The 22,320-nt window shown below is 39.7% G+C and overlaps 1 long non-coding RNA gene across 1 annotated transcript in view, besides 1 other annotated feature; it reads right to left on the bottom strand.

Annotated features, from left to right (window-relative positions):
* Positions 1 to 8,806: 8,806 nt before the first annotated feature.
* The window catches only part of LOC102724158 (uncharacterized), a 38,699-nt gene continuing 25,185 nt past the window's right edge, over positions 8,807 to 22,320 (bottom strand). Inside the window, exons 2-3 of the long non-coding RNA XR_427598.4 lie at positions 19,390 to 19,462; positions 8,807 to 8,947 (exon numbers count right to left, since the gene is read on the bottom strand). This is a non-coding gene — a long non-coding RNA (uncharacterized LOC102724158). The remainder of the gene's footprint in view (positions 8,948 to 19,389; positions 19,463 to 22,320) is intronic.
* Positions 20,276 to 20,325: an enhancer, noted in NCBI's record as "active region_21873". NCBI's record gives its function as "activates an Ori minimal core promoter by ATAC-STARR-seq in GM12878 lymphoblastoid cells {active_cell/tissue: GM12878}" and the evidence as "EXISTENCE:reporter gene assay evidence [ECO:0000049][PMID:35858748]".

Genomic DNA, 22,320 nt, shown 5'->3' with positions numbered 1-22,320 from the left:
TGAAGAATGTGTGTCTGTTACAGACCAGCTTGAAGGCTAGCTTAGCTTTGGTGTCCCCAAAGGCAGAGGTCTGGGACAAGGTTTGCATACAGGTGGTTCATTTGGAGAAGTGGTCTCAATGAACAAGACTGGAGAACTTGGTAGAGCGTGAAACAAGAGGGGAGGACAGAAAATACAATGGTGTGCTATCCAGTTGGTAACTGGGGCTTCATGCCAATGGCACCATCTGCAGGTCATGTAGAAAGAGCCTCAGATCCACCTCTGGGATGGAAAAGGGGAGCATTTTTTTACCCCGCCCCCTTGCATACACACTCTGAGGCTGTAAGTGCGAGGCTCACAGTTGGAGCACCATGTGCCAGGTGCTGCAAGGTTAACCTGTGCAGAGCTGGGTGACCCAGCAAAGACTGGAGCAGCAGGCTGAGCTGATGGGAGGTGCCTGAGGCAGTTGCAACGATCCAGTCATAGGATGGTGAGGGCACAAGCTAGGGAACTCAAAGAGTCAATGAAAAGGAAAAGATATCATGCTGCCCTGACCTTTCATCTGCAGGTCTCCTCTGTCCTTTAGAAAGAGCAATAATCCCAGCCTTTACAAGAAAGCAAAATTTTACTCTTGGATTTTAAGGAGATATGCTACTTAAGGAAGCCTCTAAAAAAAAAATAGGAGAAAAAGGGAAAGGTTACCAATTTCCTTTTTTAAAAAGTCCCACTGATACAGAAAGTCAGACTAATTTTGATGTAATGGCCCCTCCATGTTATCACTTAGTCTAGTGTAAATTGTGGTTTCCCAGAGAGTGAGTCTCTGATTAATGCACTTCAATTACTTTTTCTATAGAACATGGTGATATTTGCCATTACACAGAAAAAAAGCAGCTAAAATAGCTATGTCCCACACTGACGTCTCTACACTGCCCACTATAAATGAAATGTTTTTTACTTATACCCACAGTCAGGGAACTATTTTGACCAGATAGTGGTCTCTGGGCGCTGGAATTCTTCCTTTAGAGAGTTTCTCATACTGAAACATTCCATTTTTCATGCTCCATTTATTCCTACTGGTTTTCACAGTTATATATTTTTGACAGTGTCAATATGCTGATAGCCACAGCCAGTAATGCCATAATTAATAAAGTCACAACTTGACTGCCAGTTCCAAGAGAAGGGAATTTGACCTGAAAATGAGGATAAAGAAATATCTTCATGGAATTTTTCTGTTCTTCACTGCACTCTTACATTTTTCTAAGCACGAGAATCCATTTAGCTAGTGATACCTCTTTTAAATGATTACAACTTCAGTTATTCTGATTGAAAAAATTTCCATGCTGAGTACATAAGACAGAAAATTACAAGCAAGCTGTGCTACTATAATACATTGCTAATGTAGTCATTTTAAAAACTAGTATGGGGAAGTTTTAAGTCAGTGTTAATACATCTATTCTTTCAACATTTATTAAGGAGCTATTATATACTAGGTGCCAGAGATTCAAATTCGAGTAAGTCACCATCCTCAAGACTTTATAGTCTAGTGGACAGAAAAATAAGTAATGATACCAACTGTGGAAGATACTGTAAGAGGAGCATTCCTTATGTGTTAATGGATCAAAGAGAACCCCTAACTCTACTTCTAGGTGTGGGATGGGAGCAGATGGGGAAGAAGGCTGTGAAGAGGAGGTTGATCCAGGACTGAGTCTTGAAGGATGGAAGACAAATCATCAGTAGAACAAGGCAGGGAAGGGCAAGTCCAAAATTGTGGCAGTGTAGTTGATCATACCTTATTCAAACTCACCAAAACCTTTCACAATCAAGTTTTACCTATCTAAAGTGATTATGAAAGGTTTTGGTGAGTTTAAACTTTATTCAGGCATTGGAAAGATAGTCTGAGGATTTTTAATTTGGAGAGCAATGTGATTACATTTGCATTTTAGAAAGAAACCCTTGGTGGTGGCATGGGAAATGGATTGATAGGCTGTTGCAACGCCCAGTCAAGAGGAAACCAGGACCTGAAGTCAGGCAGTGCTGATACAGAGAAGAAAAAGGTGTACTTGAGAAAAAGCCAGGGTATAAAACTGACTGTTTCCATAACCAACAGAGGAGGGGATAGTGCATGGGAGAGGATAGGATTTTGGTTGACTATGGTTGTTCTTTTTTGCCTTGTCAGCACCAATACTCCTCACTGCAATTGTTGCCTGCTCTCCTGCTAATCATTCTCTTAACATGAGCAGATAAGCAATAGGTGAAAGTAGTGCTTCGGTACAACAGATGCTTTGTTCAGACATACTCATTATAGTCTTACCTTATGGTATTTTCCCATTGAGGTAGGATGGGCCATTAACAAATATCTGGAAGACAGTCATGTTTACAGGAGAATTCTAGAATAAATAACTGAAGTTCATATAAGTCTTTACAGTTTACAAAGCAATTTTTCCATTTGTCACCTCGCTTAAGACTCACAGCAATGCTATGATGGGTAAGGCAGGGGATCTCCCCATCTCATATTGCCAGTGAGGCAGCTATGACTGAGAGGTCAAGTCACTTGCTCAAACCCACACAGCTTCTGAGAAATTGACCTAGGAATCCCATAGTATATTTCTCACTCCATACTTTACATTACCCCACATTAGCTGAGCCTTTGGTTTTTGGCTTGGAATGTCTACAAGGCTTTTTATTTCTATGTTAATACTTACCATATCTGCCCAACTTAATTATACATCTCAAAAGGTTAGGAATTGGGTATTATGCCTCTTTTTTCTTTCATACATACTAACTAGATAATCAATAACTATTATTAATAGTACAGATTTCTTTTAAAACTGAACATAACTGGAAATTTGGGGCAGCATTTAAAGTCAGCACTTAATTATTTATACCAAGGGAAAAGAGTGTGGATCAAAGAATGTCAACCAGTACTGCAAAGTCCATGAGGGTCCTGGACAGGGAGTATGTATAAACTAACACAGACGTGGGCTTTTGTGTCATGCAGATCTCTGTGCTCCATTTATAATAGCACCAGCATTTATGACCTTTGGCAAGTTACTTAATGTCTCTATGCCTCAATTTCTTTATGTCAAGGGGGAAAAGTAACAAAACCACATGGAATTGTTGAGAGGAATGAACAAGAGAGTACATGTAAATACCTAGTCCAGAGCCTAGTACACAGTAGACCTTTCAATATATATGAGTAATCCAGATATCAACTGAAGTCCCCATCCTATTTCCTTCCCAGAATTTCTGTGTCGACTTTGGCTATGTTTGTGACTGTATTCCTGCTCTACAGAACTCTTGCTCACCAATGTCTTATCTCCATTTCTCTGATTAATACTACCTTCTATGTGGAACTCAAGCTGCTTGCCTTGAATTTCAACCATACCCTGCCCCTCAAAAAAAATTACACAATGCATTACAATGTATAGCAAATTTTTACTAATAATTCAGAGGAATGGCAAAAAGGTTGCATCACAGACTTCTAGGGCAGACAACTTGAAATACAATGCTTAACTTTCTTCTTCTGGAGTCCCTTGGCTATTTCACCAGCTGTCACTTCCCACCAAGTTGCTTAGCTCTTGCTTTGCCTGCCTCCTTTATTGCCACAACATCTAAAACAACAATAACTACGATTCTTCCTACTGTTGACGGGGTTGGAGAGAACACTGCCGCTCTAACTTCTATCTCCCAACTAAGTATCAAGCTGCCTCTTGAATGATGGAAGACTGTGAATGACAGGCCCCTGCTCCAGGTCTCACTCCTCTCTCCTCTCCTTTATAGTCTCTGTGAGAAGAAAGGAGCAGTATAAAGATTTATTTCCCCACTGAAAAGAATTATGACACCTCTTCCTTCTAAGGAAAAACTGTCCACAGTCAATTTTAGTTTCAGATACCTTTTTTCTCTTAGTAACATATTATTATTGTATATTGTGATGATGGGTGCTGCTTGCTTAATAAGATATAAAAAGATGATATTGAGTGAGCTGGGGTTTTTTTCTTTTTTTTTTTTTTTTAGATATCTCTTCATTTGGTCAAGACCTTCACTCCCATCCCATGGCTTCCCATCAGCACTGACTAACAGCACACAATTCATCAGGTGATAACTTAAAAAGGAGTTTGGTTTGTATAAGATGCAAGAAAACTCCTTGCAAAGCAATGCCATAATTTTGATTCAGATAAACTACTTCTTAAATAGCTAATTTTTCTTCAGCCTTTGGTATAACATGTTGTCTTACAATTACATGGTATCTATAAATTACTGCAATGTTTTCTAGTTACCTCTATTTGAAATAAAGGATGTCTTGTTATTTTGGGAAAAGAAACAAATGTCTTTGTCCTCGTGCCAATGAAAATGAGGCAATCTCAAATTCAGGCAGATTGAAGAGCTGGTTCTTAAAAAGGTGACTCCCTAAAACTATATTAAATAAAAAGCAGGCCAGGTGCGGTGGCTCACACCTGTAATCTCAACATTTTAGGAGGCCGAGGTGGGTGGATCACCTGAAGTCAGGAGTTCGAGACCAGCCTGGCCAACATGGTGAAACTCCATCTCTACTAAAAATACATTAAAAAATTAGCTGGGCCTGGCTGCGTGTGCCTGTAATCACAGCTACTCAGGAGGCTGAAGCAGGAGAATCGCTTGAACCCAGGAGGCGGAGGTTAAAGTGAGCCGAGATTGCACCACTGCACTCCAGCCTGGGCGACAAAGCGAGACTCCATCTCAAAAAAAAAAGGTGCAGTTAGAAATTGGAAGCATGCCTTCCATTTCACCACAACTCCTTTTTGGAATTTTGCCAGTAACTTAGAATGTTCAGTATCTGGTGACTAGAAGATTTTAATACAAACTGTTTAAGAGAAAGAATGAAACATTGCTGTTGCTTTCTAATATATGACGTCAACTCCCTAATTAAATTTTCTTTTCCGAAGAGCAGTCAGACATGTTGGTATGAACCCAATCAAAGTTATGTGACTTTACATCTGGGCTTTTTAATTGCCACTTTGATGGAGTGTAATAGATAGTTTCACTCAGAGATCTTGCTTTGTTATCTCTAATCTGTCACTTTGATTTGGTAATATACATGATGTCTCTAGCTTCAATTTCATTCCCTTTTCAATTTACATTTGAGGTTTAGACATGTGTGAATTTGAAATAAATTCATGTTGGATTTAGTATTCTTTGACTTTTGACTAGCATTAGCCTTTCCCTGAAACATTTGCCATTAATAAGCTACAATTTCAACACTAGTTCGTTGTGCAATAATTGTAAGATAATGTACCTTTTTCGTAAGGTAATGTACAATTATTGTTGATTGTACCTGCCCAGGATCCTTTTCCCCTTCTTGAGACAAAACTCACATTCTCTTCCATCTTAGTCTAGGTGGCTAGGGTAGGTGAGCCCCTCCTCCTGATGCCAGGACAGGGCATGTGAGGAGTATTGGATCAGTGTATTGTATCTCTCAAGGATGGGCAGAGTCAAGAGATGAGAAAAAGAAAGAACCTTAATTACTTTGAGCCTGGATCCAGCTGGCCCAGAATCCAGTCTACCTTGGAGTCCCTGATTATGTAAGCTTACGTCAGTTTCAGTTAGTTTTCCTATTACTTACAATAGACAGCATTCTCACCATAACAAATAGCTTTAGAATATATTTGTTTGGCAGTACGTCAAGAAAGATTTCCCTTTAGTTTATCTCTATTTTGCTAAGTTCTTGAAAGTAGGTATAAGTCACTTACTACAGAAATTTCAAAGATGACCCAAAAAAGCACATTCAAGGGCTAGTTGTTTCTACTTCTGGGTTGGTAACGCTTACTCACACATTACCGTCAAGAAATCTTATTTGTAAGCCAAAGTTTCTATTAACAGAAGTGTTTCTGAAATCTGGGTTTGCATTTCATTTTATGTTTTGTTACTTTGTATTCTTTTTCTAAACTTTCCATGCATCTGCTTTAACATCTCACAAGAGGGAGAAGGAAGGTGGACTGTTTGAGATGAACCTCTTCAGTAGGAAAAAATACTTTCACTAAGCCTGGTCCTCCTGTATTGCACCACAGTTTACATTACTGCCCTTCTCCTTCCTGTTCCTGTTTTTATGTAAGAATTTACTTTTATGTAATAATTTCTTTGATTACTAAGATACGTTAATTAAACTGCCCTTGGCTATAAGCAGAAAACCCCAACTCCATTGACTTAAGCAATAAGAAAAAATCTATTTCACATACCAAGACATCTAAGTGGGAAGGACTTCATGGCTAGTTAATTCAACAACTAATTGATGGATGTCTTCTCTTTCTACTTTGCTGTCTTTGGGAAAGTGTTTCTTATTTAGCAAGATGCCTGAAGCAGTGCTAGGCATTATTGCACAATGTCTAGGGAAAAAAGAACTGCTTCTTCCCATGTGTCTGTTTTCATCAAAGAAGAAATGAAGTCCCATTGACCAGAGCTGTATCATGTGTTCATGAATAAGCCAGTTGCAGACAAAGGGAATGGGAACATATTATTGGCACTAGGGATGGGACCAGCCTCCTCTAAAAAGAGGCCATATGGAGGAGAGGGAATATCTAAGGAGAGCAGGTGGGAAGGTAACCAAGAACTCTGTCCAGGATCAGCTTCATGGGTGTGCATCTTGTGCAGTTGCACAGACCCCAGTCCCAGAAAATCCCTGTTCTTAGTTTAATGCTCTGATATCATGATATTCTTTTTTCTTTCTTTTTTTTTTTTTGATATGGAGTCTCGCTGTGTCACCCAGGCTGGAGTGAGGGGGCACAATCTCAGCTCATTGCAGCCTCCACCTCTCAGGTTCAAGCGATTCTCCTATCTCAGGCTCCCGAGTAGCTGGGACTACAGGCATGCACCACCACACCTGGCTAATTTTTTGCATTTTTAGTAGAGATGGGGTTTCACCACGTTGGCCAGGCTGGTCTCCAACTCCTGAGTTCAAGTGATCTGCCCACCTCAGCCTCCCAAGGTGCTGGGATTACAGGTGTGAGCCACTGCACCCGGCCTATCATAGTATTCTTAATAAGTTTTGAATAACAGGCCCTAAAAATTATGTGGTCTGTCTTAGTTCTGGCACATCAAATAACTATGCCAGGAGCTTGGTAGAGTGTCATCTTCATCTTTTTCATTTCCATCTTACCTTGGAGAATTGGGAAGTAAAATTTTGCTGTGCAGAAGTCAAGCAAAAGAAGCCAAGAGAAGGTGGAAGGTAGTAGCTACTTATGTGAAGAAAAAGCAGTCAGTACAGATGTGAGCAGTTAAAAAGAGAACAGAAGGGATGGAAGACAGAGAGCAGGAAAAGACAAGAGAGACACACACCTTGGGGATGAGCCAGAACAGGCCAATATTTCCTTCCCAGGGTGCTTACATCAAAGAAAATTGCTTTCTCTTGGAATTGGTCTAGGCAAATGCTGTGATTAGCTTTATAGCTGTTTAATGATCCTTATGTTTGCTTACAGTTTCTGTTTATTTTTAATCTTTTTGTCTTTCTCTCTGTGCCTCTTTTTAACTCTTTGTTTCCCTTCTCATGGTATTCTTTGGCTTTTTTTTTTTCTACTCTCTTCAGTTTTTCTGTTAGAGGGCTGCTTTCCTCACATCAGTTATAGCCTCTCTCCTCTTTTTAAGAATAGATTCTACTGTTAGGTAAAACGGGACCTACCTTCCCTGAATGTGAAAGGCCTGGTGAGAACATGGAACTTGAGCTGAACCCTAATGAAATCCTCTGACCTACTACAGGAATGCAGCACACTTCTCGTTGCTGTTTCCGTGGTTGACCCCAGAGTCACCCCCAATTCCAGAAGTGGGTATGCAAGATAAGCCTGGTCTATCAGTCCAGTCCAGTCCTTGGACTTAGTGGTTATCTGAGGCGTGGACACCCTCCTCAACCATCTCGTAGGTGAAATTTAGCTCCGATATATCTTCCAGAACCACTGGTAAAGAGGTGCTCCCTATATTCTGGAGTTCAAAAACTGATAGGCTATAAGCCTGGAGCTGCTGGCTGACACTTTTCTCATGACTTGGTTAGAGCCTAAGAATGAAGGCAGCACAGAAGACAGCAGAGCTGAGAGGCGGAGAGAGAAAGATTAAAAAAAAAAATCAGCTTTTGTTTTAGATTCAGGGGGTACATGTGTAGGTTTGTTACATGAGTATATTTTATGATGCTGAGGTTTGGCATACAAATGATTCTGTCACCCAGGTAGTGAGCAGAGTACTCAATAGATAGTTTTTCAACTCTTGCCCCTGCTTCTTCGCTCCCCTATCTAGTAGTCCCCAGTGGAGAGACAGATTTGTAATGACAGCATTTGAGCACTCAAGTTCACGTGAGCCTGAACTCTCACCCAGACTTTCAGTTATGAGAACCAACTAATTCCCTTTTTTATTTAAATCTATTTAATCAGGTCACTTTTAATTTAAAGAGCTCTTACTGATACATGTCGTTGCCACCACTAGACAACATACCTGTGCAAGTATTTTCAGCCACTTTTTAGAAAAAGATGTGTTTTCAAGGAAACTTTATTTGTTATCTTTCCAGTTGTTTAAGACTTAGAACAATAACGAACAATAAACATAGCTCACGCTTGGGAACGTGCCTTCTGACTCATCTGGACTAATCAGACCCAGGGGATTCAACCAATCAGAACTGAGCGCGGTCTGGTCATCCGCTGCCTGCCAGGCGGAGAGGATTGTTTGTCCTCACAAGTTAGCAGAACTCCGGGAGGCAGCACAGTTGAAATTGATGTGAGACTTGGTAAACAACACAGATCAATTGAAAAGGTGACTACACCAAAAATCGTTAGCTCATATACATGGCAGAAATGACTTCAGGCAGGGGAGAAGGTGAAAAGGACGGAGACTTTTAATCAAGTTATGAAAAAACAATCTACATAAAGAGGCAACATTAGAAAACAAACTTTATTCCCTTAGAACTTGCACATAGCCTTCCATTTCACCTGCTCTCAAGTTCCATTAGCTTTCTTCCCTGTAGAAATAAAAATGAAAATAAGACAGACAAAAAATTATTGTTGCTAATCATCATTTAGACTAAAGTCTATTTTCTGACAATCAGCCCCATTAACTACAGATACTTGTTGAAGAATAAATATATTTCTAAATTATATCCATTATCTTAATATCACCACTATCCCAGATTCCAGCATTTCAAATGTGTAATGAGCCCTAAATTTAGGAAGCAAATTATCGTTGTACATGCCTTATTTTACAAAAGTCCAATGTATAAAAACCCTCACTTTTTCCTTTCTTTCACAGATAAACTTCTCAAAAGTTGTTTTACATTTACAGTCACCTCTTCTTCACTTTACTGCCCTGCTTCTGGACAGCCAGACTCACCTATCAGACCTTGAAGGCAAATTGGGAAAACCCCAGTGGAGCTCTCTGAAATTCCCCAACTTCTCTTCCTGTGTTGTAACTTGCTTTCCTTGAAACCCTCTGTTCCCACCTGGTACCCTTAATCTGCAGCTCCACCTTAGACCCCTTGAGACTTGACTTCCCCAGGGCTTGAAATCTTGCTTTACTTAAGTGACTATAATCTGATTCCCTTCTCTCTTTCCTACACACACAGCTCTTTTTCTACTTTGAGGAGGAAATTCTGCCCTGAACTTTAGTGCTAAGGAACCCACCCCAGACAACACAAAAGGCAGGGTGGGGTGAGTCAGAGAGTGTCTGGAGGCCCAGGCAGGTGAGGATAAGGGCTGGCAAGGGGGAGAAAATTTGAATCCCACTTTCAATTCACTTCTCTAGTACTCTTGCAGAATCAACAATGATCTTGTATTTGTCCAATCCTGTGAAAACCTTTCAGAAACCAATTATGCTAGACTTCCCTGGACTCTCTGATCTTATTGGCTTTTCTCTTTCCTGAAGTACTCTTCTCCTTTGGCATTTTTCCTCCTTATGCCTCTAAAAACACACTTTCTCCTGCTTATCTTTCCTTCCCTCCAACCTTTCCTTCCTTTTCAGGCTCTCCTGGTTCTACATTTACTCTTCTTCTCTTTTCACTTCACTGATCTTCCCAAGTCATTTCAGCCATCTCATCCATGTCTTTGACCTATACCTACATGCCCAATGTAGGTGTAGGTCAGACCTTTAATTCTGTCCTGTTCTTTCTTCTGAGTCCCAGACCTGTGTATCCAATATGTACACTGAACAACTCCACATGGATACTCACAGATTCCTCCTCCAAGATTCTCTAGATGAACTCAGTATCTTACTCGTTAAATCCATTCCTCTTCATCTGCCACCAAATTACCCTTCATCCTACATTCCCTATTTTAGTAACTTGCATAACAGTCCCTCAAGAGTGCAATTCAGAAACCTGTGAGTGCCACTAAAATGCAAGTCCTGCCAACTCAACCTCCCAAATAACTCTGCATCTTCTCCAATATATTAGGCTCTTGTTGTTTTCCTTGCCTTAACTACTGCAATGACTCCATCATGAGATTTTGTGTCTCTAGTCACTTTTCTTTCTAATTTACCCCCCAAGTGGCTCTTGGAGTTATTGTAATAAAACAAAATCTTATCACATTACTCCTTTACTGCAAGCCAGTTGATGACACTCTATAACCAATGAGAAAAACATGCTTTAATATGTCTCTTAGTTCATATTCTGTTGCTTATAATGAATGCCTGAAACTGAGTAACTTATAAAGAAAAGGAATTTATTTGTTACAGTTTGGCCCCAAGGTCAAGGAGCCACATCTGGTGAGGGACTTCTTGCTAAAAAAGAGTCCCCAGGTGACACAGGGCATCACATTATGAGGAGACCAAGCATGGTCATGTGCTAGCTTGGGTCTTTCTTTTTTCCTTTTATGAAACTACCAGCTCCCCTCTTATGATAACCCATTAATCCATTCAACCATTCATGAGGGCAGACTCCCATGATCCAATCACCTCTTCAAGGCCCCACCTCTCAATACTGCCACACTGGGGATTAAGTTTCAACATGAGTTTTGGAGTGGACATTTAAACCATGACAATAGGAAAGTCCAGCATTATCCGTACTTTGCTCTCCTTTATCTTCTTTTTTTAACGCTTTTTTATTTGAGACAGAGTCTCACTCTGTTGTCTAGAGGTTGAGTGAAGTGGTGCAATCATACCTCACTGCATGCTCAAACTCTTGGACTCAAGCAATCCTCACACCTTAGCCTCTCAAGTAGCTAGGACTAAAGGTGTGTGCCACTATGCCCGGCAATGTATAATATATATATATATATAAATGTTATATAAATATATATATATATTTTATATGTAGAGATAAGGCATCTTGCTATGTTGCCCAGGCTGGTCTCAAACTCCTGGCCTCAAGCAATCCTCCCTCATTGGCCTCCCAAACTGCTGGGATTACTGGTGTGAACCACCATGCCTGGCGCCATATCTTCTTCATAACCTTCTTACTTAGACACAGCTAGTCTTAGAGAATATTTTTTTCTAGTTCCATTCTTTCACTCAAGACTTCAAGACTACATTGCCCTAAAAGAAATTGAGATTTGTGTTTCATTTCTCAATGTTACAATTTCATTTACTTTTTATGGACGAATGCATACATTATCATACATTGATGGCATGAGGGATGAAAAGATAACTCACAAAGTACCCCCAGCAGGACCCTGCATTAAAACAGTGCTGGCCAGACAATAGTCAGTATGTAACTTATTATTTCATACAACTATCTTCACAATTTGGCCCTCTCTACCTGTGGAACTTTATCTCCTCCTGCTCCTCCTCTTCACTCTGATTTCTAAAAATAATTAATCTCAGGCTTATTTTTAAATACAAAGACCCCTTAGTATACTTGATTAGAATTTAATTTATAAAGATCTAATAGCCGTAAAACTTTTGGGGTGAAATATATCACATAAAGCTGGACATACTATCAAATATGTATTAATATTTAGATTTATCTTTGCAAAGGCTTATATGTTCTGTGACCAGAAAGAATATAAAAATTGTACTAAGATTGACTCACTATACTACCTGAAAAAACCTTTGAAGGCAATAAAGTGAAAGCACCTGAAGAGAGCTTCAGGTAACCTAACTGGAGAAGGAGTTTCCTGGGCTCTCCTTGCAGAGGAAATCACTAATCTCCTTATGCAGAACCAAAGAGAGATGTCAAGTCTGAGTCAGCGAGTGAGAGCATTTCTTTTGTTTTTTTTGAGACGGAGTCTTACTCTGTCGCCCAGGCTGGAGTGCAGTGGCGCAGTGGCACGATCTCTGCTCACTGTAAGCTCTGTCTCCCGGGTTCATGCCATTCTCCTGCCTCAGCCTCCCGAGTAGCTGGGACTACAGGCGCCTGCCACCACGCCTGGCTAATTTTTTGTATGTTTAGTAGAGACAGGGTTTCACCGTGTTAGCCAGGATGGTCTCGATCTCCTGACCTCATGATCTGCCCGCCTCGGCCTCCCAGAGTGCTGGGATTACAGACGTGAGCCACTGCGCCCGGCCGAGAGCATTTCTTAAGACGAACTCAACAGCCTGTCTAATATGATCTATAATCTTCTGAGATTCTGAGTTGGGAGAAGACAGAGGTAATAGGGAAGTTTTAGCTACCAAATGATAAACCAAATGGTATCTCTATCCACGATGAGGCATTAACAATCAACATGTTTACAGTTCATTCCTTTCACTGGCACTGAATAGAATGCATAATGCAGCAGTTTCATCAAAAGGTCATAATGTGAGAAATTACGTGCAGAACATCCCTGAACCCCTGTAAATGGAGGAATGACTCCATGGAAGAAAGAGTCTCTAGAATTATGATAAATGATGAAAGATTGAGATATTTGGCAAAGGAGTGCATATGCAAATTTTAAAAATACTTGAACTAAGGTATCTTGTTATTTAAAATTTGAAAAGGGGCATATTTGTTCGAACACAGAAATAATGTGCCGTATATCCAAGTGATTTTGGAAATTAAATTGTAAAATATGGTCTAATTATTATTTCACTTTTCTTGGATTAAGGTGGGTTTTTAGTTCACTCTTTTAAAAAAGAACATGCTATAGAATAGACTTTAGATTGTTTGCTTTTTCACATAAACTGGCCTATTTTCAATTTGTGCTATTGGGATTGAGCCAAAGCTGATTTATTTATTTATTTATTTAATTTTTTTTTATTTTTTATTTTTATTTTTATTTTTTTTTTTGAGACAGAGTCTTGCTTTGTCACCCAGGCTGGAGTGCAGTGGCACGATCTCCGCTCACTGCAAGCTCCGCCTCCTGGGTTCAAGCGATTCTCCTGCCTCAGCCTCCCGAGTAGCTGGTACTACATGCCATCACGCCTGACTAATTTTTGTATTTTTAGTAGAGACAGGGTTTCACCATATTGGCCAGGCTGGTTTCAAACTCCTGACCTTGTGATCTGCCCGCCTCGGCCTCCCAAAGTGTTGGAATTACAGGCATAAGCCACCGTGCCTGGCCCAAAGCCGATGTTTTTATAGTGAAAACTTGAATATGCTTATTAATTCATTTAAAATAATAGTATTCAATTTTATAGTGGTAAATATGAAAATATGAAGCTTATATTCTACTAGAAGAGAAAACAACAACAATAAAAATAATATGACAATTTTTGAAAGTGGTAAGTGGCCTAAAGGAAATAAATAAGGTGGTATGACAATAGTAATAATAGTTAACATTTATCAAATACTTTTTATACCCTGGCACTATTCTTTACATGTAATCTTGTAATGTAGGTAGTAGTATTAGCCCCATTTTACGCATGAAAAAACTGAGTTACATGGAGGTTAAATAACTTGTCCAAAGCCATGCAGCTACAAAATAACAGAGTGAGAATTTGAAGTGAAGTTGTTTCCTGTGTATTGAATCAATCATCTTGATGAAAACAACTGAAATACTTAAAAGAAACATTTTAAAATTATCAAAGAGATAACAAGATAGTTCTTTAAAAGGCCTAAGGTCAAGGGAAAATGAGAACTCTGGAAGGTAAATGGGTTGAAGAGAAATGGGTACAGAAACTGCTTTTGCCCTGAAGTCATTTGTCAATCTGGATAAATTAGAAGCTTTGTTTTGAAGGGCTTGCTGGGCAAGGGAGATGGCACAATGTGGAGAATTCGTAGAAGATCGTCTCCTAAATAAACTGGAAGCTCCCCTCCACAGAGCTGCACACTCAAGACAGGCATGAACCAGAAGTGAGCCAGCCCAGGAAGAAAATTTAAACCCCTGATTCAATTGCTAGCTCAAGACTTCAACTTAGTTTAAGGTGAAAGTGCCCCCTGAGAAGCCTAGAAGAAGCAAACAAAAATTCTTTCTGGAGATTAGTGGGCCTTCACCTGTGGGACTCAAATTGTTTACACAAATAATTTTTCAAATACAATGTCCTACACACAAAGGAAACCGCAACATAAAGAAACTAGACTTGAGTAAGAATCAGCAAAAACAATAAAAACACAGACCCCCAACCCCAATAAAGACTTCAAAGGCAAACAGTAAAAGAACTATGCTTACCATGTAATGTAAATGAAGATAAGCTTGAAGACATCTGTAAGAAACAGAAAACTATAAAATGTTGCAAAGTGGAATTTTTAAAAAACTGATCTTCTAGAAATACAATATATGATAACTAAAACTGTAAAAATGTCAATGAATGAGTTTGATGCCAGATTAACCTAAAAAGCTGAAGAGAGAATTAATGTTCTGGAATACAGGTTGGGAAAATTATCCAGAGAACTGTATGGGGAGACATAGGGCTGGAAAATACAGAGGAAAATGAAAGAGAATTAGAGGATATTAGGAAAAGGTCTAGGCTAACATAAATTTAACTTAAGCTTGTCCAATGTGTGGCCCCGGGCCACATGCAGCCCAGGATGGCTTTGAATGCAGCCCAACACAAATTTGTAAACTTTCTTAAAACATTATGAGATTTTTTTGTGATTTTTTTTTTTTTTAGTTCATCAACTGTTGTTAGTGTTAGTATTTTTTGTGTGTCCCAAGACCATTCTTCTTCTTCCAATGTGGCCCAGGGAAGCCAAAAGATTGGACACCCCTGGTTTAACTGCTATTCTAAAAGGAGGCACAGAGGCAATATTTGAAGACATAAAGGCTAAGAATTTTCTAGAACTAATGAGAGACCCCAACCTATAGAGTCAGGAAACCCAGTGAATCTCAAGCAATATTAATACAGAACTCCCCACTTATCCACAGTTTCACTTTGCATGGTTTCAATTAACCACAGTCAACTGCGGTCCAAAAATATTAATGGAAAATTTCAGAAATAAGCAATTCAAAAGTTTTAAATCGCATGCTATTCTGAGTAGTGTAATGAAATCTTATGTCATTTCCATTCCATCTCACCCACCTGGGACGTGAATTATCCCTTCATCTGTGTATCCATACTATATACTACCCACCTGTTAGTCACTTAGCAGCTGTCTCAGTTATCAAATAGACTGTCATGGTATTGCAGTGCTTGTGTTCAAGTAACACTAGTTTTACTTAATAATGGCCCCAAAGTGCAAGAATGGTGATGCTGGTGATTTGTATTTGCCAAAGAGAAACCATAAAGTGCTTCCTTTAAGTGAAAAGATAAACATTCTCTACTTAATAAGGAAAGAAAATAAATCACATGCTGAAGTTACTAAGATCAGCTCAGTTATTGTTGTTAATCTTTTAATGCGCCTCATTTATAAATTAAAGTTTATTGTAGGTATGTATGTAAGTATAGGAAAAACCATAGTATATATAGGGTTCTGTACTATCCACTATCCATACAGGGGACTTCTCTACCAAGAGATCTACCCTTAGACAAATCAGAGTGAAACATCAGAAAACCAAAAACAAAGAGAAATCTTAGAAAGCTTCCCAAGAAGAAAAGACAGATTGCCTTTGAAAGAACAGTAACCCGTTAGCCGACTTCACAGCCATCAGTGAAATGACTGTCTTCAGTGTGCTGAGAGGTGTGCAGAGGTCTGATGGTGTGGGGGCCTATAGACCATGGCAAGAAATTTGCATTCTAATAAAGCCAAAGCCATTAAAAGTTTTGAGCAAGACATAATCTGATTTAAGTTTTACAAAAGTCACTATGGCTATTTTGTAAAGGAGGAATTTAAGGGAGGAAATGATAGAGACAACGTAAGGGCCATTGCCATAGTCTGCACAAGAGAAACACTTAAAGAATATTAATATATAAATAGATATCAACCAGAAAAATGGATTCATCTTGGCCATATCTGAACACTGTTATTCTCGGTGTAGATAAAATTATGAAAATAAGCCTATCAAATCTGTAGATCATGTGCAGTTTTGAACAAGGGAGTCTACTTTAGGTGACAAAGTCAGTACCCAAGAAGGCTTCAACTTCTTGGTGTAGTGGAATAAATGAAACAAGCTGAAATTAAACAGAGTAAATGTGATATAGGAGTGACAGAACTTAGTACAGCTCATAGAAGAAAACAAGAAAGGTTTTCTTTGACAAGATGAATGAACAGTAATTTCAATCTTGGGCTCATTAATCATTCTACATAATACTACCACATTTCTTTGTGCTACTTAGACCAAACGTTGTCCCCAAACGGGACAAGAATGATGATGAAGGGCACAAAAGCATGCTACGTCAGGTATTTTTGGAAGAACTGGGGATATTTAACATTGGTAACTAAATGTTATTTCATTAACATTTACTGAACATCTCCTTTATGCCAGACTGTCATAAGCACAGGAGATTCAAAATACATAGGACTGGTTCCTTTTCTCACAGTATTCATGGTTTCATTACACTGAAAACAAGAGTAGAACATTGAGGATAAACAACTGTCTTCAAATAATTTCAGATTTATTTATTTATCTTGAGATAGGGTGATGCTCTGTCACCTGGAGTGCACTGGAGTGCACAGGCTGGAGTGCACTGTGATCACCGCTCACTGCAGTCTTGACCTCCCAGGCTCAAGCGATCCTCCCACCTCAGCCTCCCAAGTAGCTGGGACTACAGGTGCCCACCACTATACTCAGCTAATTTTATTTCATTATTTGTAGAGACGGGATCTCCCTGTGTTGCCCAGGCTGGTATCTAACTTCTGAGCTTAAGCAATCTTCCCACCTTGGCCTCCCAAAGTGCTGAGATAACAGCCGTGAGTCATCTCACCTGGCTAATTTCAGATTTATTATATGGAATAAGAAATGGGTATGACACCTAGGTAAGCATCCTAGCTTCTTTGAAGGCTAAGGCAGGAAGATCCCTAGAGCCCAGAAGTTTGAGGCTGCAGTGAGCAATGCTCATGTCACTGCACTCCAGCCTGGGTGACAGTATGATCCTGTCTCAAAAAAACAAACAGCAACAACAACTTAAAAAATCAAGTGAAAAAAAATACTTCTTTAATAAATGTTTTAAAATGTTAGAAGAGTTTTTAGTATAGTAGATTGATCATTTGATCGTTCCAATTAACAACCTCCCTGTATCCATGATTTTAAAATGTGACCATGCAACTCCTCCCATCAAGATATAGAGTCTATTTCCCATGTCTTGAATCTGAGCTGGCCTTGTTAGGTGCTTTGGCTAATAGAATGCAGCAGAAGTGTACTTGTGCCAGTTATAAGCCTGGGCCTCAAGAACTCTTGCATGCTTCCACTTTCTCTCTTGGACCCCTGTTCCACCATAAGCACCAGCTCTGGCTAGCTGCTGAAGGATGAGAAATCACATGGAGGAGAGCCAACGGGTCCCAGCTGACAACCAGATGAGCTCTGGAATCACAGTGAACTAGACATCACATAGCTGCACGCAGACACATGAGCACAGCTTAGCCCAGCCTAAATTGCCAATCTGACTTGCAATATCATGAGCTAAATAAATCGTTGTTTTAAACCATCAAGTTTTGAGGTTGTTTGTTATGCAACAATAGTTCATTGATACAGGCAGCAAGTCCATGAATATCTTCCGTCAATTTTCTTGGATTGAGAAATAATAATTCCTGGTTCAGGTTACTTCCAATTCACTATTAAATTTCTGAATGGTAACAAAAGGAAGCAAGTAATGAAATGATTATTCTATATAGATAAGAGCTTTTATTATTAATTTTTAGGTCATACTTAGGATAGTGATACTTTGCTGTTTTTCTGGCAATTAAGTTAGTTTTAAGAATGCCTTGATGTATTTTAAAGACAATTGGCCTGAATAAGAATTTTAGCTAGTTTATGCCTTTTTTCCTTACTCGTATCTTGAAATGTAGATTCATAATTACTTAGGCTTCTTATTCATTCTTTTCTTTTGCTTTTGCCAAGATGCTTACTGTGGGCTATGACACTTTAAATCACAATGAAGACACTGAATTTCCAGAGGCATAATATCACTTTCATCTTTTGGTTCAAAATCCATATGCTTCCAACATATTCTTGCGGTAGTTGAGCATTTCCTTTCCTTGTTATGCAATAAAAATAGAATCCTTGTATTTCCATTTTCTTTTGGAAAATTTCCAGCATTCCCTGTACTATCAAATCATGGTATTGGAAGGATGATTTGGGGGCACAATATCTCATTGCTACTAAATGCTTTTCATTTTTATTATATATTACTACTTGCTCTGTATTAAATGCCCCCTTTCCTTTAGTGGGGCTGTGCAGGATTTGCTATGCAGTAAAATATAATGCAAATATTCCAGATTATCCTTCGAGGATTAACTAGTCATTCTAATTACTATGTGCCACAAAAACTGGACCTCTAGGTTGGATTACACAAAGCAATGTAAATCTGGGAAAATAAATGATCACTGTGGTTCACGTCTGTGATCCCAGCACTTTGGGAGGATGGGATGGGAGGATTGCTTGAGCCCAGGAGTTTGAGACCAGCCTGAGCAACATGGCAAAACCCTGTTTCCACCAAAAGTACAAAAAAATAGCCAAGCATGGTGGCACCTGCCTGTAGTCCCAGCTACTCAGGAGACTGAGGTGGGAGAATTGCTTGAACCTGGGAGGTGGGGGTTACAGTGAACTGAGATTGCACCACTGCACTCCAGCCTGGGTGACAGAGAGAAACCCTGTCTCAAACAAACAAACAACAACAAAAGATCTGTTAAACAGCCAAGGTCAAAATTAAGAAGTCATTGCTAGCCTTTCCCTGAGAAAGAAGTTGTGGACCTTGAGGATCCCTCCATAGTCGTCAGTGATATTCTCAAAGCCAACAACATGGAAGGGGATGAGTAATTTAAAATCTGCTTAGAATCTCTGGAACTGAGATTTCCCTCTAATTTTATGCCCAACTCTTGAGTCAAATATTAAATGAGTGAACCAAACAGCCCTCAGGAGTAGACACCCTTCCCTCTACTTTTTTCTCTGAAGATCTGTTTATTTTCCAACTAACCAAGAATAAGACAGTTCTCCTACAACAACAGCTTTAATATTATATCACTGCTTGGGAGTTTTCCCATCTAAGGTCTTTTACTTAGAATCTGTTCCTGATACTTACCTCACAGGTATTTATGGAGTAAATATATGATCATGACACTAGGCCCTATGATAAAGCTTCTACGGTCTTCCCTCTGGAAGAGAAGATAATGAAGTTATTCATTTAAAAACACTACTTTAAGGGGTATTGTTACCTTTTTATCATCAAGAAAGCTTTTGGCATCCATTCCTTAAGGAACACATTCACAATTCCATCTCTTTACTAATAAAGGGAATTATGTTTTGGAGTCAAGTTCCAGGCACAGTTTTCTTGCTTAGAAAATGAATGCACTCCAGTCAAAAAAACAAATTCTGAAAAACTGTAAAAAATATTTCTTCAGTTCTTGGCTCTGACTCACTTCTGGTAGGTTCTGATAGTGAGTTGAGAGGGCCATGAAGGTGCAAGGGGCCCCCAAAATTCTTCTCTTTCTATTACCATCACTGGGATGCACAATGCACTTCATCAAAAGCAGTACTACTGTTAACCCCATGAGAGAAAGGAGTCTGTTCCAGGCAAATTCTTTTTACATGTAACACTTATCACTTTTTTGTGTGTGTGTTTCATTTTGCTACAATGTACTCCCAAAATAGTCTGCAAGTTGGGAATCATTTCACCAGAAAGATGGTTAAGTGGAAAATGTAACATGATGTGAAAAAATTATCAACCTCTGGGACTAGATTTTGTGACAATGATGCAGTTTCTGTTAATCATGCCATATTCACATCCGATCAGTTATCAACTCTTGTCAAGTTCACCTCCAGAAATTCTCTATAGTCTATCACCACAACCCTAATTCAGGCCCCCACTTCCTTTCCTGTGTTCTATTGCTGTGGGCTCTAACTTGGTCTCCCCACTCGCTATCTTTCTCTATTCTAGTCCATCCTGATTTTAATCATCTTGAGGCCAATTTAAATCATATCATTGACATGGTAAAATCCTTTAATTGTTCACCTTTACCTATAGTGTAAGATTCGAACCTCTTCAGAGGCATTCACAACTCTTTTCCACCTAGACATGTCTCTTTCCAAATGTCCTCACCCCTCTCATTCTCACATACCCTGAATAGCCACTCTGCACTTCCTGCCCCTCTGCCTTTGCACTTTCAGTTCCCTTTAATGAAAACATCCTCCCCACTGCAAGTATAAATTCTATCTTTCTCTCACAATTCAAATCAGATGCCACCTTCATCCACAGTCTCTCTCATATCCTGTGTGCCAACAGAACTGGTCTATCCCACTTCCCCAGCTTGGGTGGCAGAAAGAACTATTTTCTCTGTAAATTCAGCTTGAATCACTCTGAGCTCTACATCACATAAATGCAGAACGGCCTTCTCACTGGAGAGTCCTCTCTCCATGGTAACTCCAGCGCCCTCAGGCATGCTTTCTCAGTCCTAGTGGACAATATAATTACTCTTATCTCCAGGAGGAGAGAGAGAGAGAGAGAGAGAGAGATTGAGAGAGGGAGAGAGAGAGAGAAGGAGAGAGAGAGAGAGAAGCTAGCTCCATCCACCGAGGGGCCCTTTCCTACCACTTTTATCACTCTCATTTTCACACTATAGTGTTGGGAAAACACTGGGGATCTGACATGCCTGTGCTTCGCCTCGTGTCCAGCACTTGAGAACCTTGTCTTCCTGCACGTCTACTACCAAAATCTGGCAACTTGCCATCCAGGGCACTCCTTGTGCTCTGAAGAAACACCCTTGGGCCATGTAGGGTTACCACTGCTGTTGCACTGGCCGTCCTTTCCTCCATGGGAGGGGGAAAGGAGAAGCTTCTCTACCTGCTGGCACAGGCAGCTGCCCTCATCCCCACCACTCACAATGTTGCCGTTCTTCACTTAAAAGGTTCCTCAAGTCTGTAGCATACCCATGGAGCCTTGACAACCCAAGGCATTGTGAGCAGTGTGCAAATAGCTCACTCCTGAGGGATTTCTTCTCAGCCTGTGTTGTAGGTGGAGCCCTCCATGCCATGTCACTCCATCCCTCACTGTCTGACTCGCATCCCCTTCCCAAGATCAAAGCTTCACATCACCATCAATTCCATTAAATGTGCCTTCCAAGTAATCATCTGAGTCCTTGGGACACATACCAGTTAAAGTGCCTTTAGTTGTATTTAAAAAAAAAACTCAAACTACATTAAGCAATAATGAAATTTGCTGGATGACATGATGTAACTAGAAACTTAGAGGTAGCACAGGCTCGAGGATGGCTTAATGCAGTAGCAAGCCCTATTTCTTTGTGATTCTTGGCTCTGTCTTCCTCTTTGTATCAACTTCATCCTCAAGGACAAAGGCGACCAGAGTAGCCTTAGTGTCTGAACCTACTGCCCACACATGACACATCCAGGAGAAGAGTGACAGGGTTGCTTCTGCATGCATTCCTGGAGTAGGAGGCAAAAAGATACCTCGAACCCCAGCAACATTTCCTCAGTGGCTGAAATGGAGACTCCCATTCCTGAGCCAATCCCTGACAAGGGGGAGAAAGCTTACCAACCAGACCCGTCCACTGGGAGTCACTTGGGCTTTCCATAGAGGGGTGTACACCTGAACAAAATTGGGTTGATAGAAATCACAAAAAAGAATGCTGAGCAGGCTATCACCACAACCACTAGAGAGGGATTTCATCTGTGCCTCAAAATAGCTGCCTTCTTTCTGAAGTGGTGATATAGAAAACCTCTCATATACATTGATTAAAATCTTAGATACAGCAATATTACCCATTTTTTTAAAAAGCTTTTAGAATCCTACAGTCATAATATTGAGCAAAAGAAGGCAGACACAAAAGAAGATATGTACTGTATGATTTCATTTATATAAAGTTCAAAAACACTGTATTGTATTAGAAATAAGAGGAGTAATGACTGAAAAAGGGCATGGAGAGGGATTCTGGACTAATGTTCTGTTCCTTGATTGATGCTAGTTATGGCAGAAGTTTTATTTGTTAAAATTCATTAA

The sequence above is a fragment of the Homo sapiens genome, chromosome 4, assembly GCF_000001405.40.
Source record: "Homo sapiens chromosome 4, GRCh38.p14 Primary Assembly".
Lineage (NCBI taxonomy): Eukaryota > Metazoa > Chordata > Mammalia > Primates > Hominidae > Homo > Homo sapiens.
This window is presented reverse-complemented; position numbering and strand designations above follow the sequence as displayed.